The 19,393-nt window shown below is 39.4% G+C and overlaps 1 protein-coding gene across 14 annotated transcripts in view; it reads right to left on the bottom strand.

Annotated features, from left to right (window-relative positions):
- The window catches only part of SPATA18 (spermatogenesis associated 18), a 45,996-nt gene that overhangs the window by 16,290 nt on the left and 10,313 nt on the right, over window positions 1-19,393 (bottom strand). For 3 of the 14 annotated variants that reach the window (NR_123728.2, NM_145263.4, XM_017007731.3), the window contains 6 exons: window positions 18,678-18,790; window positions 11,094-11,189; window positions 8,854-9,093; window positions 3,970-4,231; window positions 2,117-2,275; window positions 1,091-1,266 (listed from right to left, as the gene is read on the bottom strand). Coding sequence is in view for 10 of the 14 variants with exons in the window: in NM_145263.4 (NP_660306.1) it covers window positions 1,091-1,266; window positions 2,117-2,275; window positions 3,970-4,231; window positions 8,854-9,093; window positions 11,094-11,189; window positions 18,678-18,790 (1,046 nt within the window). In the remaining 4 variants the exon portion in view is untranslated. Of the gene's footprint in view, window positions 1-1,090; window positions 1,267-2,116; window positions 2,276-2,933; window positions 3,017-3,969; window positions 4,232-8,853; window positions 9,094-11,093; window positions 11,190-18,666; window positions 18,791-19,393 lie in introns of those variants that run through there. The other 11 variants (NR_144359.2, NM_001346102.2, NM_001346103.2 and 8 more) reach the window with 7 other exon arrangements.

Genomic DNA, 19,393 nt, shown 5'->3' with positions numbered 1-19,393 from the left:
AAGACAATGGCAAGAAAATATTACATGCTATAAGGCAATTGGAAAGTTCATTATTGTTGTGATTTGCATAAGTGAAAGAAAGTGAATGATTCTGAGTGGTACTATCCATCCTCCCTCATCAACAAGCTTTCAGGAATGCTGGGCATAACTTTACAACCTGAACAAAAACCCGGAGTGAATATTTCCTGGGCACCCACTTCATGCTGGGCAGCATCCTAAGTGCCTTGTCTGAATTATCTCAACTAACCTTCTACGACCCTAGGAAGTAGGCATTATTATTGCCCCCATTGGATAGAGAAGAAACTAAGAAATAGAAAAATTAAGTGGCATGCCTAACATTATACAGCTAATAGGTGATGGAGCTGAAATTTGAACCTAAGCAGCTTGAGGCTGCTTAGGTTCTTAACCACTAGCTTGTGTTCTTAACCACTAGCTTGATTTCTTCCCAGATAATCTCCAGCTATATCCTGTGATCTCAAGAAATCACAATACAATGTTTTAAATTAGTTTAATGTATTTTAATTTATAAGGGGAATATTTATCCTGTAAAAGTTGGTAGCAATCTATTGGTCCTAGACAAAAGAGTCAAGAGCATTAATTTTCAAACATTAGTGTGCACAAGGAACACCTGGGTGCTTGTTAAATTGCAGATTCCTGAGCCCTGTCTTAGACTTACTGCATAAAATGTCAGAAAATGTAATCCAGGAATGTGTATTTTTAACAAGTACCTTGAGTAATTCTGATGCAGGTGATCCACACATCATACTTTGAGAAGCCTGGCCTGAGTAATGCAATAAAAACCAATAGAAAGTAATGCACATTTGTATTTATAGAGCATCTTTAAAAAAGTGTTCTAGATAGGCTCCAAGTCCTCATTAGTTCTCTCCCAAAGACCAATATGTTCAATGGAAAATAACTCTAGGAGTGGGTCCTGCCCTGGAGTACAGAGAAGTATATGGTAGGGCCTGAAAATCAGGTAGTGTCTGTTAATTTCTCCACCCAGAGTTCTTTTCCTTAAATTGTTTTCAGGAAACAGACAAGACAATGTATTCATGATAAATCCCTTAGCTTCTGCTCCTGTGTCTCTTACTTGCAATCATTAAAAACTTCTCCATCTGCTCCATATGCAATATCTAGGGGTGGTTCTAAGGCCTGCATTGCAAAGGCAATGCAACATATCTCCTGGATGAAGTCACTGAGAAGGCAAAAGTCAACGACAGGAGGGAATGAAATCTTGGGATTGACATTCATGGCTCGGATCACATCCTGAAAAACAAAAGATGGCATCACTTTGTTACCAGCCTGTGACAAAAACACTCTGACATCCTAAGAATATTAGGATTGATGGGAGGTGGGAAAAGAGAATGTGAGCCAAAGCAAGTTAAAGCAGAAAAACAGTGAATGTGCTAAAAGGAGAAAGATGTTGCCACCCATTCACAGGGAAGAAGGAAAGAGGACACAGAGTAGAAATGACACAGTAAAAGCCAAGAGAGTCCTAAAAAAGCAAGGAAAAAAACCTTCTGTGGCTTTTATTTATCATATCCTTATTTTTCTATTCTGAGCAAGGGTATGATGTGCCAACACAGAACTCTGAATTGTTCATAATCCATAACAATCATTATTAATAGTTTGCTTTTATTGAGTGTTAACTATGTGCCATGTCTTGTGCTAAGCAAATTGCCTACTTTCTTTCATTTAATGCTCTCAATGACTCTATGGAGTAATGAACAGTGTTACTCCCACTTAAGGATTAGAAAACTAAAGCATACAGAGATTAAGTAAATGTGTAAGATCACACAGCTAGTAAGTGTCAGAGTCAGGAAGCAAATCCATACATACTTTTCCCCAAATCCTTGCTCTTAAGAACTATGATATTCCATCTCCTGATCATAACAGCCTATCTAAAGAAACTCAGACATTTTTTCCCTATAATATGTTTAAGGAAGAAACAGTCAATAATGGCAGGTGCTACCAAGTAAATTGAATGCTGTTCCTTTCTTCTTTTTCATTACATAGAATTAATACTAAATACTGGATGGATTTCTGAGTTATTAGTACTCAATATAAACTGCAGCAGCAGCAGCAAACCAGTCCTAATAAAAGACTCAACACTTACATTGACACTGCTTTGAGAATCATATAGATCAAGATGACAAATGACATAATCCAAGACAGCATTCTCAAAGTCATTCGACCCCACATAAGATGGTGTCAACGATTTTCTCACATGGATCTTGAAGTGTCTGAATGCCATTTTTGCTACATGGAATGCCTCCTGCACATAAAAATGCAGCAAATTTATTTGGTGAAAAGAGGTAGGTGAAGAGATCCAAAACAAGGAATTAGAAAGAATCCGAGCTTCAACATCATATTGGTCTTCTGATAACTAAACACAGTTGATCAAAAACATTTTTAGTCTGGAAGAAAATACATCTCTAACTTTGAAAAGTACATAAACATATAATAATCCATGCTCACTAACATCAAGACAGTTGACTATTATTCTAGAAATTCTGAGTGCAGGAAGCAGGACAGTGCAGAAATTGAAGGAAATAAATCCCCTGCTATAAGCCCATAGCAATATCACATTACTGGTCAAGAAATAAGAGAACATTATCAGTCTAGTGTTTATGTTATAAACACATATCCAGACTCAGACATGTGTCCTGGCATATGTTAATTCAACAAATATTTATTAAATGCTTATGGTGTGGTAAGCATTGGGAAAACTCCGTTATGCAAGGAAGATGTGGTCTGTACATTGACAGAGCTTTAACTAACTCAGTAAGTGGTTCTTAATTATATAAACCAGGGGATGGCAAACGTTTTTCAATACGGAGCCAGACAGCAAATATTGTATGCATGTTGAGCTACATACAGTTTCTGTCTTTTTTTTTTTTTACAACCCTTTAAAAATCTAAAAACATTCTTACATTCTTAGCTTTCAGACAGTAGTATTTCTCTTAGAAATATGAGCCAGGTCCAGATAAGGTCCATAGATCATGGTTTGCTAACCCTGATTTAAATGAATAAATACAGGATAAAGTTCAGTATTTCTGATAATTCTGCTCTCATACCAATGTTTTGTTTTGTTTCTTAATATTTAACAATTCTCCTCATGAACTCTCAGTATCTTAGTATGACACTAACCCATAGAACAAACATATTTGTTTTGGAAATTAAGGATACATATGTGCACTTTTAAAATTTGTCATGCTCAAATAGCTGATATGTAAGCAGTTTTAATAACTACTCTTAATTAAACAAACAGAAGCATTAATACAATCACAGCCTTCTCATTTGTTTAAGAACTAAAGTAAACCAAATGACAGCCATTAGCAATAATATATCCACTGTGTGTGCATATGCTCATATTAGACAAAAGGTACAGTGCAAATCTACTTTGTATAAACCCATTTGAGATAGTCCTGCGTTTACGGATACTTCTTAAACAAATGCCTGGTCAATATAACCAACTAAATAAATAAATATTATATAACTATTCATATATATATGAATAGTTATCGATTGTGAAGATGATTCATCCCCCAAATATTTGTAATGAAAGGGAAGGAAGGAAGGAAGGAGAGAGAGGAAGGAAACAATGGAGGAAGAAGGGAGAAAGGAAGGAAAGAAGGAGGAAGAGATGGAGAGAGGGAGGGAAAGAGAAAGGAAGGGAGGGAGGGAAGGAAGGAGAGAGGGAGAGAGACGGGAAGAAACAAAGAGGAAGGAAAGAAAGGAGGGAGGGAGGGAGGGATGGAGGGAACAAGGAAGGAAGGAAGGAAATAGGAAAGGAGGAAGAAAGGGAAGGAGGAAGAAAGAGAAGGAAGGAGACAGATGGGGAGACTGGAATCTCCCCCACTTCAGTGACCTCAGGATCCACTAGTCTTTGTAAGTTGTTCCATTCACGTTACAGAACTTGTCTCCCGGCTGCCCTAAGGAGCCGGGAGTCCCGCAGGCGTCACATACCACTGTGGCGATGTAGATGATCCGCTGAACGGTCTCAGCCTTGTCGATGCAGCGCCGCAGCAGGCACTGCGCGTCCAGGCGGGCCTGGGAATAGGAATCGCTGAACCGGGACAAGAGGGCAGCCTTGCGCGCCACATTGGACAGCTTGGAGCGGTTTGGGGACGGTCTCCTGACCTTGACAGCGGTGGAGGGGCTGGCAGATCTGCTGCGGCTGCAGCTACGGCTGCGAGGGGCAGGGCTGGGAGACCGGCTCCTGGAGGACCTGTTGGTGAGCGAGAATCAGCCAGGGAAATCCTTTGATTTGCTTCTTAAGTAAAGCAAAGATCATCTGGTGGCCAATGAATCCGACCATCCGGAGGCAAAACTCCTTATCTGAGGAATTCAGAAGTGATTAGACTTCCCTATTATCTGACTCCAGCATCTGGTACCAGACTTCTGTCCCAAAAATTTATAAGCAACTAGAATTTCTATACATCTCCAGAATGCATGCGTTCTTAAAAATCAGTCCGATTTTGACCCATAAACGCTCAAAAAGAAGCATGTAATTTTCTTTTGTAATCCCTAATACATCAAATTGGCCTATTAATGGAACTTTGCATCACAATATTATTTTACAAGTAGATGCATTTTACCAGACCCTCAAAAAGGATATGTTCTGGTCTTTTTGTCTTTATCCCATATGTTCAGGTCTTTTTGGCTTTATCCCAAAACTCAAAATTACATAAAAATTTTCATGTATCCTTCCAAGAAACTTCCTACCTCCTCAAGTCTGGTGTCTTAGATGACCCTTTTGCCTATCACTCTGTCCTCAGCCTGCTCCTGCTTTACCTACGCTCTCCCCATCTGCTCCATCCCCTAATCAAACATCCCCATGTCCATATACTTTATCCCTGTCAGATACTCACACAGGAGTTACATATACCACTAGTACAGAGTCCTCGGAAAATCCCAAAATGTTTTGCCTCTCTGTGAGGTAGCTAATGGAGATTTAGGAGCAATCCAAGTTCATGTCCCTTTTCTAATGTCTGATTTTTCACAAATTTAATCCAAGTTTGGGTTCATTTAGCCTGGATCCCTCTAAGTTCATTCAAGAATTTTAGGCTTCAACTATTGCCTTTGATTGAATCTAGCAAGATATATTTGTGGTATTAACTACTTGTTGTTCCCATGAAGAAAGGTCACGCATATGGTCAAGCTTGGGCAGATGAAGCTCATGTCCATAATCCTAACAATGATAAAGCCGGGGCAGAAGCTGTCCCTGACCCAGAACCCAATTGGCAATACCGGGCCGCTGATGCCGGCCCAAAGAGAGGCAGGGGCAGATGACATTATATGATCTCTTTTTTGTTGGAAGAAATGAAAAAGGCAGTAATAAAACCTGTTAATTTTTCTAAATTACAAGAAATCACTCAGGAGCCATCTGAGAGCCTCATCCTTTTCCAGGCTACACTGGTGGAGGATGTGCATAAATACACAAGTTTTGACCCCCAAATCCCTAACAGCCTATCAATTCTGGCCATACATTTTATAAGTCAGACTTCCCCAGACATCAGACAAAAACTCCAAAAATTAGAGCATGGCCCACAAACTCCCTTTCTTACTTTATTAAATGTAGGCTTTAAGATTTTCAATAATCAGGAGGAAATATCCAAAACAAAAACAGTTCCATTGGAGGAGGAAAAATGCCAGCACCACACTAATTACACGGTGACAGCATTGGCACATTCTTTTTCATTAGCCAATAACCCCAAGGCTCGTCCCCATAACACTAACAGAACACGGGCCTGTCATCACTGCAGAAATCCAGGACACTAGAGAAGAAAATGTCCAAAACCTCCAGATTACAAGCCACCCCCAGGACCCTGTTCTCATTGCAAACAAGAGCATCATCAGAAAAATGAGTGCCCCTCCCTCCCTTGTGACAGAGGGGCACTTCTTTCTCCTAAGCCATCACAGCCACAACCTCACCAACATACCTGACAAGGGGGTTCTGCAGAACAAGGACAAGGGGAAGGACATGCAACTCTAACTTTATTCCTGGATTATAACCAAGCCTCTCAAAGTCATCCTCTAGATGACTGCTGGGGCCTTGAGTCCTTCCAGGCTCCTGTCTTTTCCTTTTCTATGGATGAGCCTTGGGTAAATCTAATTGCGGCTGAGCAAGTCTTCTTATCACACCTTCCTACCCCAACCATTTCTCTCCATGCTGGTAAAATGGGAAATATCTCCACCTTCGTGTAATCTTAGTACTCCCCCCACCATTCATACTTATAATATCATTGGAACTTCTTTAATTTGTAATGTTACTTTAGGATGTACACCCTGTTATAATGGTACTCCTGTGGGTAACATTAACCCATTTGAGGCTCTTACAACAAAACTCTGAATCTGTCTAATCACTGCCCATTTTTAAGCCTTTCAGACAAACCAGTATAGTAAGGCCTCCAGTATACACCACCCCTTGCACTCCTAATACCACTCATGTATGTTACTAGAATGATATAACCAATGTCGGAAAAAACCATCATGCCACTTATATCCTATCCATTGCACATATGCTTCCCTGGTTTTGAACACCACCGCTGCGCCCCCCACTCACCCAACCAGCTGGGACATTACCATGACTTTTCCTCTCATATGGGGCCTCTCAAAAACTGTCATGAGGCCCCTTTCCTTTGTTTCCAACATTTTAATCAAACCAATCAACACCATATTACCTGGCTGCCACTCCTGGGCTCTTATGGCTTTGTGGCACTGCTAAAAATTATTTAAACTCCTTTAAAGCTTTGGCTTTATTCTATCTTCATAATTCTCTTCATTATGATGTTTGTACTCCGGGTACAATAGCTCCCACCCAAATCACTGTCCTGAACATAATTTCCAATCTAGAATCCCATTCTAGAAGAAAAAGGACCCTAGGATTTATTGTGGCCAGAGTTGTGGGAACTATCGCAACTCTTGCCCCTTGGGGAGGTTTTACTTACCATGAAATCACTACGGGAACTTAACCACCTCCCTTGAAATACTGGCAAATACTGGCCTTAGCAAATACTGGTGCAAGTCTATCGTTGCTAGAAAAGTCTTTAGGCTCACTAGCAGGAATGGTTTTTGAAATAGACGAGCTCTAGATTATCTCCTAGCTGAACAAGTTGCTGTCATCAGTAAAACCTGTTGATCTACATTAATGTGTCTGGAAAAGTGGAAACTCATGTCCAAGAAATTTTCAAACAAGCCAAATGGCTAAACACACTCTCCCAAAGTAACAAAAACTGGGCCAGAACCTTTACTGACTGGTTTCCAAAAATCCCTTGGCTCAATCATAGCTCACTGCAGCTTCAAACACCTGGGCTAAAGAGTTCCTCCTGCCTCAGCCTCCAGAGGATCTAGGACCACAGGCATACCCAGCTAATTTATTCATTTTTTTAACTTTTTTTAGAGATGAGTTCTTGCCATGTTGCTCAGGCTTGTCTAGAACTCCTGGGCTCAAGCAATCTTCCCCACCACAACCTCCCAAGTAGCTGGAATTCCCAGTTTTCACACACATAACTTTTGCCCTATTTTAGGGTGGAGGTGGGGATTGGAAGGTCAGATGAGCAAATACATGTGGAAGTACTGGGTATATTGTAAACTACTGTATCAGTAAAAAGTTATATTGCCCTCAAGTACGAAGTAAATTATCAGACTAGCTAGCCTGAAGTAAACGGGTCTCCATAAAGGGAGGTTTTACAGAAGAAACTACCTGGCAAAAGGTATTGCAAAACTGAGTACAACAGTCAGGGAGGTTGGGTTGGGTAAGGCAAGACTTACTTATGGTGTTTTCCAATTCCCATGGTGTAAATACTACCACCATGTCAAACAGGCACAGAATAGGTTATTGGAAGCCAATACAAGTTGGCACAAACACAACACTGACAGAATGATTCCCCAAAATTAAAGACTGTGGTGACATTTAGAGAATGGGAATGGGGGCTCTCATAGCCTGGAGCAGAACACATTAGGGGCTTGAGGGGGGTTGTTAAAAAGAATAAGGGAAATGCAGAGACTCCAGAGAAACACCTACTTTGTCCTTACTTAACACTGTCTGGATGACCTGTCTTAAAATCTGTCCATAAGTAGAAAGGGATTTCACAAGAACACTTCACCTACACATGCCATCAAAGTCAGATATAAAAGGGAAATACCCTGCAGTGAAATGGACAGTATCCCTGGAGAGAGGACTCCCAGGCATCAGAGAAAATGACCCCTCATATTACAGAACATTTTTTCCATGAGGGTACCACCTCTTGCACCATAGGCCTGCACAAATCTGGTTTCAAGCCAAAGAACTTTCCTTATAGCCGGGCGTGGTGGCTCATGCCTGTAATCCCAGCACTTTGGGAGGTGGAGGCAGGCAGATCACCTGAGGTCAAGAGTTCGAGACCAGCCTGGCCAACATGGTGAACCCGCATCTCTACTAAAAGTAAAAACAAAATTAACCGAGCATGGTGGTGTATGCCTATAATCCCAGCTAGTCGGGAGGCTGAGGCAGGAGAATCACTTGAACCCAAGAGGCAGAGGTTGCAGTGAGCCGAGATCATGCCATTGCACTCCAGCCTGGGTGACAGAGCGGGACTCTGTCTCAAAAAGAAAAAAAAAAGAACTTTCCTTCTCCATATCTCTCAGCCCAAAGTTAATTAGTGTCCAAGTGCTGGCAACTCAGGAGGTATTTTCTCTCTCTGGAAGGGGTGCAGTTAAGAAAACAATCCCTTTACAATTCAAAGCTTGGCAGATTGCTGAGGTTTTGGTTCAGGGTATCATTTTATCATTTTACTTATTTCCTCCTCCCCGATCCCTTAACTCAGCAAAAAGAGCCTAAATGAGAAGATCTTTGAGAGTTTGTCTGACCTTCCTTGGAGTGCACTTTTCTCAGCAGACAGAACAGCTATCTCCTCCTTCAGGTTTCGGAGCTGTTTCTTATAATCGGACATGGCTTCTGTGTCCTGCTGGTCTGCATTCTGCTTGAGTGAGTTCCACTGCTCACGCTTCCGCTCCTCCAAGCTCCAAGGCTCTGACCGCCTATTCTCTGAGCTCCTCTGATCTGTGTTTCTGTGGCGGGCATCCTCCTGAGCTTGAAGAGATTTAAGCCTGAACAGCAAAGAGAGAGGGCAGAGGAAGGGAAGAGAGGAGAGGGGAGGGAGTGAAGGAAGGAAGGAAAGGTAATAAGCAGCAATTGGCATGCTTAACAACAGAGGCTACTCAGCCTGCCATTATTGCATTGGGAAACTCTGATGGAAATACACATGAATGAACAAATTAGCAAGGAGCAGAACTGCCAGGGCCAGGGTGCCACTCCATGTCTGCAGCTTGCATGGGGAAAAGTTCCTAAAGAAAGGACACTCATGCAGATCCTCTAGCAAAAACACTGGACCCATAGTCATACTGTCCCATGTTGGACAGATCTTAACTGCATGCTTATTTGACCTCCAAAAGCTATTCAGGCAGCTGGTCTAAAATACAATCTCCTACCCTCATTAGTTCTTTGATTCTCTGAATAGTCTCAACTCTATTTTTAACATATTAATTGGAATATTTAATATTAATTAGAATCTTTGATTCTCTGAACAGTTGGAATATGAGAGAAAACTACAATGGAAATTGAATAACATCCACAAAACTAGCTAGAAGTGTGAACCTATGAAAATAATGTAGCAAACAAAAAAATCTTTAGAAATAAAATTGGCATCCTTATCAAGATACAAAGTGGCATGGCCACCATAAAACAAGAGCAAAAGCCAGGAGAAGAGAAGATGCTACGATGAAAATGACAAGGGTGTAAAATGAAAAGGTAAGATTAAGAAGATAAGAAAGTTAGTAAGATTAAGAAGGATGCAAAGAAGCTAAAGATATAATAGAATGAAAAGCTGCACTACAAACAGTAAAGAACAGAATTGGTGCTATAGGTAATTGATGAGTAATATGATTGATGGATTTGAGAAGGTATAACAAATAGGAAATTAGAGATTAAAATGATGAGGAAGGGGAAGACAGAAGTAGAAAATAGAACAGTGTTCCTAGTTAAGATTTGTGGGTGTTCCTGACCAAATCAGAACCATTGGAACACATGCGAAGATAATCAAAAGGGGTGTGTATGTGTGTGTGTGTGTAAAACACCCCCCCCCCCACTTACTCTTTTGGGAGGGGGAGATCAAAATTAAGATCCAGGAAGGTATAACCTTATTTTTTTATGAGATTGCTGTTTTTATTTATCTTTATGAAATTTGTTAAGTTTGCCTTTGCAGGCTAATATATGGTCAGTTTTTATGAATGTTTTATACATATTTGAGAATGTGAATTCACTCTTTTTTTATTTTATTATTATTATACTTTAAGTTTTAGGGTACATATGCACAATGTGCAGGTTAGTTACATATGTATACATGTGCCATGTTGGTGTGCTGCACCCATTAACTCGTCATTTAGCATTAGGTATATCTCCTAATGCTATCCCTCCCCCCTCCCCCTACCCCACAACAGTCCCCAGAGTGTGATGTTCCCCTCAGGAAGGTATAACTTTAAAAGATCAATGTTTATTTTCCCCTTCTAGAAGTTTATCTTTAAGGAATAATCTGACAGTTCAACTGATATTTTTCCACAAAAATTATCCCAATATTATTTCCCATGTTGAAAATTAGTATACAAGTAAATATTCAATATGAGGGAAATCCCCAAATGATGGAACATAATGAACCTATTTAAAACTAACTTCTGCAGTATTTTTTCTTAGTGATAGAGAAAACAATGTCAGGTGAAAAGTTAGGATCCAAAATTGTATACTTATACATTTTATTCTGTAGTCTCCACTCTATTTTTAATATATTAATTGGAAAGAATGTAAAATGGTAACAGTCACTGGCTCTGCAATTATGAAAGGGTTTTTATATGCCTTTATACTACGTTGTACTTTGGAAGTTTTCTATAGTAGATAAGTAATATCTTTGTAGTAAATATATATATATATATAATTAATAAAAATATTTCTGCATTTTCTCTCTGATAGTGAACAGATTCTTTCATGTTGTAATGGAGCACCAAAAAAGCTAAATTCAATGATTTAGGCTGCAATAATCCTGTAATTTTTTTCTTACTGCTTTTTCAGCTGATTTATTTCCTCCTCTGCAGCCAAAAGGGATATGGCCGATCTGTTCTTGCTTTCTTCAAGATTCTTTTCAGTTTCAACCAGACTGTAAGATAAATCAGTAACTAAAGATAGATTTTTCAAAATTGGCAGACTTTCTAAATCAAGGCAGAGGCTCACTTAGGAACTTCTGGTATATGACATAGTTCAACATAAACAAGATCAAATTAAAAGACATCTGCATTCAATCAGGTAATATTGCAAATATTGTGGTGGACTTGTATGCTAAAACATGCTAACATCCTTTGCTCAATGTCAAACACTAGGAAATTATAGAGCTACTACCCCCAAAAGACTATTAGTATTAGAATATAAAGGACAAAGAAACTTGTTCAATTTCTCCTTCTCACCTGCCTAATTCATCTGCTCTAATTACATCAAAGCCCCAAGTTGGCTTTCTCTACAAAATCTCCACTTTTCTATAATATACCAACATCGATTTTTATTGCTTTGGACTGTGGGGCTGCAGACTTCTTCAATATTTAAAAAAATTATGTGCCCACCTATAAAGTCCTCACAATCACCCTTGACAATCAAGTACTTCATGTCTTCCTGCCTCTGACTTCTACTACTTATTGAGCACAAATTCTCTGAGTTTTCACTGTATCTCTGTCATAGTTAGCTTCAAATCCTCTTCATGGTAGACAAATCATAATAAATCATGTTATTTAGGTCTATCTAGTTTAAAAAATAAGTGAGGCTGGGTGCAGTGGCTCATGTCTGTAATTCCAACGCTTTGGGAAGCCAAGGCAGGAGAATCTTTTGAGCTCAGGAGTTCAAGACAAGCCTGTGCAACATAGTGAGACCCTGTCTCTATAAAAAATAGATAAATAACATTAGCCAGGTGTGGTGGTGTGTGCCTGTAGTCTCAGCTACTCAGGAGGCTGAGGTGGGAGAATCTCTTCAGACTAGGAGTTTGAAGCTGCAGTGAGTTATGACTGTGCCACTGCACTTCAGCCTGGGTGACAAAGTAAGAACATGTCTCCAAAAAAAAAATGGAAGTGAGATAGATGATACTGAATGAAGACCAATGGTCCTCAATGAAGTTGCCCCAGAACAGTGAGACTTGAGTTGACAAAGTCTTCTTGACTTCTCTGACCCTGCCAGATATCATAGCACTTGTCCTGAGGCTAAGATAGTGCAATTGCCTTCCAAACTCACACCAGCCTTTATCCTTCCCTCTAGATGGTAGAACAGTGGAAGGCAAAACACTGGGATTTTCACTTAGAGAGTGAAGCAGCCTAAGAAATAATGTGCTAACAGCATCCCTGTCAATCCCACAGATCCTAACCAGACACCGAAAATTCCATCCCCCACCTGCTTCCTCCTCTAATAAATGCCCACTCGGCAAGGGCCTTCCACATAGTATCCCCAATTCTCCCAAGAAAACTTTGTTTCCCCTTCTCGGCACTCCATTCCCATTTACCTCATTGCATTCACACTATAAACTATTTGAGGGCAATAATTTTATTTTATTCATCTCTATCCCCAGTACCTAAACAGTTCCTGTCACACGGTATATTTTTTAAATGAGAAATGAATGAATGAATGAAATGTCTAAAAATGAAAAGAAAGCAAAAAATAGCATTAACTTCATAATATGGCTATTGGAGATTGAAAGGAAACTAATATATTTAATTCAAATATAAGATGTAACAAGTTCTTAAAAGTAAATATGTGAAAATGAACATTTTTATCAAGAGAAAATGAACTGTAGAAAATGGATCAAGAAAAGGAGGAAAATACAAGCAGGAATGAAGAACTTGGGTATTTTTCTCCTAACACATACAAGCGGATGCACATATAAGCAAACATACATGCTAATTTCACACGCTTGGATGACATAAAGAAAGAAGAAAGAAAAGTACATCCATATGCTAACAATTGTTTTAATCAGGCTGACGTTCTATTTAAATGTTTTGTTGCATATCTGATCATTCATTGAGCAGATTATTGAGGACTTACTATGAGCCAGGCATGATGCTCAGTACTGGGGATACAACAGTGTCAATTCAGCAATGCAAGACAGTAACCCTTTGGATCTTCCAGGCTAGTTGGGGAGATAGATCATAAATATGCAAGCAAGTTTATTTTTTTAAGTTCCCAGTTGTGACTTCACTCTCTAACTTTTCTCATAAGTGCTATTATGAGAAAAGCAGATCACCATGGAAGAGTATTAAAGGAGAGAAGAAAGACCTTTCAACGTATGGTGGTCACAGAAGGACTCTGAGAAAGGCACATTTAAGCTGAGACTTGGAGGATAATAAAGAGCCAGGCATGCAAAGAGCCAGTGGAAGACTGAAAAGTTCTTTCAGGCAATGGAAGAGCACAGGCAAAAGCCTCAAAGTGAGGAAGTAGACAGTAGACTGGGTCAGGGGAAAGTGACAGGAGATGACACTGGAGCAGAAATACAGCCAGATCAGGAGGGGTGTTATGAGAGCCCTGGTGAGAAATTTAGAATTTTTTCTAAGTATAAAGGGAAGAGAATACTTAAACAAACTTAAAAGAAAAAAACAAACAACCCCATCAAAAAATGGGCAAAGAACATGAACAAACACTTCTCAAGAGAAGACATTTATGTGACCCACAAACATATAAAAACAAGTTCAACATCACTGATTATTAGAGAAATGCAAATCAAAGCCACAATGAGATACCATCTCATGCTAGTCAGAATGGCGATTATTAAAAAGTCAAGAAACAACAGATGCTGGCGAGGCTGCAAAGAAATAGGAACTTTTTCACACTGTTAGTGGAAATATAAATTAGTTCAACCATTGTGAAACACAGTGTGGTGATTCCTCAAGGATCTAGAACCGAAATACCATTTGACCCAGCAATCCCATTACTGGGTATATACCCAAGGGAATATAAATAATTCTATTATTGATACATGCACATGTATGTTTACTGTAGCACTATTCACAATAGCAAAGACATGGAATCAGCCCAAATGCCCATCAATGATGGACTGAATAAAGAAAATGTGGTACATATGCACCATGGAATGCTATGCAGCCAAAAAAGGAATAAGATTATGTCCTTTGCATGGAGATGGATGAAGCTAGAAGCCATTATCTTCAGCAAACTAACGCAGGAACAGAAAACCAAACACCACATGTTCTCACTCATAAGTGGGAGCTGAACAACGGGAACACAGGGACACAGGGAGGGGAACAATACACACTGGGCTCTGTTGGGGGTTGGGGGAAGGGAGAGCATCAGGATAAATAGCTAATGCATGTGGGGCTTAATATCTAGGTGATGAGTTAATCTGTGCAGCAAACCACCATGGTACACGTTTACCTATATAACAAACCTGCACATCCTGCACGTGTATCCCGGAACTTAAAATAAAATATAATATTTTTAAAAGGAGGAGACTAACGGCTTTTAATCAGAAGGATGATTTGATATGGCTGGGCGCCGTGGCTCACGCCTGTAATCCCAGCACTTTGGGAGGCTGAGGTGGGCGGATCATGAGGTCAGGAGATCGAGACCATCCTGGCTAACATGGTGAAACACCATCTCTACTAAAAATACAAAAAATTAGCCAGGCATGGTGGCGGGTGCCTGTAATCCCAGCTATTCAGGAGGCTGAGGCAGGAGAATGGCATGAACCCAGGAGGCATAGCTTGCAGTGAGCCGAGATCGCACCACTGCACCCCAGCCTGGGTGACAGAGCGAGACTCTGTCTCAAAACAAAAACAAAAACAAAAAAGAAGGATGACTTGATACAATAAAACATATACATATTTGCTAAGTGGAAAACGGATGGTGGTTGACCAAGAATGGAAGTGGGGAAGCCAGTCAGAAGGAAGGCAATTGGTTCAGGAAAGAGATGTCAGAGGATTGAACCAGGGCAGGGGTGGCGGAATAGAAAGAAAGGGGCAAGTGTGAAAGTTTAGGCGATAGATTCAATTGGACATTCTGATAGATTGGATATAGGAGAGGAGGAAAAGCAAGATTCATAACCAGAATCCAGGCATAAAATCTAAAAATCTTCCCTTGCTTGGGGGTTCATCAAACCTGTGCAGACTTGTGGCCATTTGCCCATAATTATTGGAATTTGCATTTTGGAACTAAGTCAGAACCAAAGCAGTCTCTACAAGGTTAGACATAGGGAACCTCCTTGGGTGGCCCATTCATTCCATCGTGGGCAGCACCCTGGCTTAAGAGACAAGTAGGCAAAGTAAGGGAGGGAAGAGAGAGCTGGCTACCATAGAATGTGGAGAACAAATTCTTTTAGTGATACCTTAAATTTAAAAACAGAATAAGAACTACAGGTGAGTTAAAACTAAACAAAGTGGAGAAAGGACACCCTATTCAACAAACGGTGTTGGGAAAACTGGCAAACCACATGTAGAAGGATGAAACTGGATCCTCACCTCTCACCTTATGCAAAAATCAACTCAAGATGGATCAAAGACTTATATCTAAGAGCTGAAACCACAAACAGTCTAGAAGATAACACCAGAAACTCTTTTAGATATTGGTTTAGGCAAAGAATTCATGCCTAAGAACCCAAAAGCAAATGCAACAAAAACCAAAATAAATAAAATGGGACCTAATTAAACTAAGAAGCTTCTGCACAGCAGAAGAAACAAAGAAACAAAAATAAACTTCTGCTCAGCGGAGTAAACAGACAACCCACAGAATGGGAGAAAATATTCACAAACTATGCATTTGACAAAGAACTAATATCCAGAATCTACAAGGAACGCAAAAAAAAATCAGCAAGAAAAAAAACCATTAAAAAGTGGGCAAAGGACATGAATGGACAATTCTCAAAAGAAGATACACAAACAGCCAATACACATATGAAAAAAATGCTCAGCATCACTAATTATCAGGGAAATGCAATTTAAAATCACAATGCAATACCATCTTACTCCTGCAAGAATTGTCATAACTAAAAAATCAAAAAACAATAGATGTTGGAGTAAATGTGGAGAAAAGGGAACACTTTTATGCAGCTGGTAGGAATGTAAACTAGTACAACCACTATTGAAAACAATGTGGAGATTCCTTAACTAAAAGTAGAACTACAATTTGATCCAGCAATCCCACTACTGCATACCTGCCCAAAGAAAAAGAAGCCATCTTATGAAAAGGACACATGCACATGTATGTTTATAGCAGTACAAATCGCAATTGCAGAGATATGGAACCAACCTAAGTGCCCATCAACCAAGGAGTGGATAAAGAAAATGTGGTATATATACACCATGGAATACTGCTCAGCCATACAATGAAATGAAATAATGGCCTTTGCAGCAACTTGGATGGAGCTGGAGGCCATTATTCTAAGTGAAGTAACTCAGGAATGGAAAACCAAATACCATATGGTTCTCACTTATAAGTGGGAGTTAAGCTATGAGGATGCAAAGGCTTAAGAATGATATAATGGACTTTGGGGACTTGGAGGGAAAGGAAGGAGGAGGGTGAGGGATAAAAGACTACATATTGGCTATAGTGTATACCGCTCAGGTGACAGGTGCACCAAAATCTCAGAAATCACCACCAAACAATTTATCCATGTAACCAAATACCACTTGTTCTCCAAAATCTATTGAAATAACATAAAAATAGAAACTAAGAAAACCAGGGAAAAGCAGCAAGCATCTTCATGTATGCAACTTCCAAATGGTTGGTGGAGAGAATATATATATATATATATATAGAAAGAGAAGGAACACATACGTGATAAAGCATATAGGGCAAAAGGCATATGAAAGGGCATATGGAAATGTTTAGCGCTATTCTAGCAGATTTGCTGTGTTTGAAATTATTTTCAAATGAAAAGTTTTTTTAAAGCATGCATTAAGTTTCTTGATCTATGGTACCCCTTATAGGTAACAACAGTGTCACTGAAACAAGAAAGAGAAGTGGGAAACCCTGGCCCCTACTGGTGCTGACAGCCATCAAGAACCAGTAAAGTTTTGATGCCCTTCCTCACAACTAGAGGAAAATGGAGGGTCATCTGCAGCCGTTGCTAGCTAATGTCCCAGGATACCTCCCCAGACAAGACATGCACAACTCAGGACCCATCAGCACGAGACACTAGTGCCTACATGAAATTAAGGCCAGCAAGAACCCAGAGGGCAGTATAAGACCAAAAACTCCTCATGTCCGTCACCAGGAGAGTATACAAGCATCCCTTCCCTAGAAAGGATGAGGGGAAGGGAGACCCCATGAGAGGGCAAAAATAGCTCTTAATGCATGTTTGCACTTGGAATGAGCTGAATGTTTACAGAAAATGGACTACGATAAACCAAAAATGACTGTGTGACCTTGAAGTGGCTTATTGAAGAATCCTTCAAAATGAGCTCACATTGGTTGAAATAAATTATATATTTTATGCTTTTTGCATGTTACATTTATAAATTTTGACTGCTTCAGGTATATAACTGCTCATTGATTATGATTCCAGTTGGAAATATGAATGGATATGTGTGGAGGTGCAGGCACAAAGAAAAATGTCTGGAGTAAAATATACCAAAATGTTAATGGGGACAAGAAAACAAGTGATTTTCATCAATTTTTATTTGTTGTATGCATTTTGAGAAAGAAATTTGTATTACTTTTATAATCAGGCAAAACTAAATCAATAGAGATTTCTTCCTTAGAAAAATGGAAATGTCATCAGGGAACAAGGCAGAGCACCACACATTATTCCATCCTAGCCTTAACTAGTTATTAATTTTTTTTAAAAAAAGATTTCCTTTCTGTCCCATTTATGTCAGCAATGAAGCAATGCTGTGGTAGGAGAAATTCCCATTGATGGATTTTTGTTAGGTATGTCAAACACAGTTTCATACATATTTGTCTACCTGCCTCAAGTACAAACCCAAAGTCCACATACAATTTTCTTTGCAGTGATTCCCTAAGCTTGCTACCCTGGCTCTGCCCACAACATGCATCTGATATGTGTTGTTGCCTGGAATTGCTTAACTTTTAAAAAATACATTCTTATACCTAATAGATATTGCAAAATCTTGAATTCTTCCTTTCTTAAAAGACTCTGACTCTCTCAGATTCAGAGAAGCACACATACACCCCTAAATGAGTATAATGGACTGATAGATGCAGCCTGCTTCATTTGACTTTTGCTGTCTTTCTCTTAATTCTCCTCTTTGCCTGATTGTTCACTCTCTTTTATTCTTTCCCTTTCACATCTTTTTAAAAATTTTTCTCCCAATAGGTAGATTTTTGTCTAACAATCTTTACCTGTTTGTCAATATAGGCTGATGATGTGCCTATGAAGAAGGAACTCCAAAGAAGGAACCAGGGGACCATGTATCATAATATATCCTGTCCCCAAATCCACAGACACTGACCACTGACTCTCTCTCTCTGTCTCTCTCTCCCTCTCTCTCTGTCATACACACATGCCCACAGACACACACACAATCATATTACTTATTTGCAAATGCCCACATTTTACATGAGCCATTATTCTCCTTTCGAATTTAAAACTTAATTAAATTGAAAACAATTCTTTTTGGAAAAAGATAACTTGCATTCCTCTTACTCGTCTTGAACCTGGTTGCATTGACTCCGGGTTGAGTTCAAATTAGAGTCTAACTGTTGCATATCCCGATCCCGAGGACTGGGATCTTTATGTCTCTCCCTATCAAACGTGTCCTGGAAAGATACACCAAAAAAAAAAAAAAAAAACAGTCTGAATACATTAAATGACATGGATGAATTTTTAAAAAACAGCCCAACTCAAAAGAGCACAATTATGCACGGCTCCATGCACATGAAGTTCTAGTACAGGCAAAATTAATCTAGAGTGATAAAAATCAGAAGATGGTTGCCCTGGGGAAGGTGCAAGAAATGCTCTAGAGTGATGGAGATGTCTGATATCCCAATAGGGATGGGAATTTACACAGGTATATGCATTTGCTGAAATAGCAATCTATGGATTTCACTGAATATAAATTATACCTCAATTTCCAAAAACAGTTTGAAATTCTACATCTTTATACCTAGAATAACACCCACACAGAGGATAAAAACCTGAGAAGCGTCCATAAATTCTCAGGGAAAAAAAATTACTTAATGATAACTGAAGTCTATAAAGTACTTAACATGTGTCAGGCCCTGTGTAACTTGTTTAGTGTGCTTATCACATTTAATTCTCACAAATGAACCTTTTAGATCAGCAAAACCATTGTCTCCATTCAGCAAATAAGAAAATTGAGACATAAATGTTTAGATACCTACCCAGGGCCATAAAAGAGG

This window comes from Homo sapiens, chromosome 4 (genome assembly GCF_000001405.40).
Source record: "Homo sapiens chromosome 4, GRCh38.p14 Primary Assembly".
NCBI lineage: Eukaryota > Metazoa > Chordata > Mammalia > Primates > Hominidae > Homo > Homo sapiens.
Note: the sequence above shows the minus strand (reverse complement) of the source record. Positions and strands in the feature narration are given on the sequence as shown.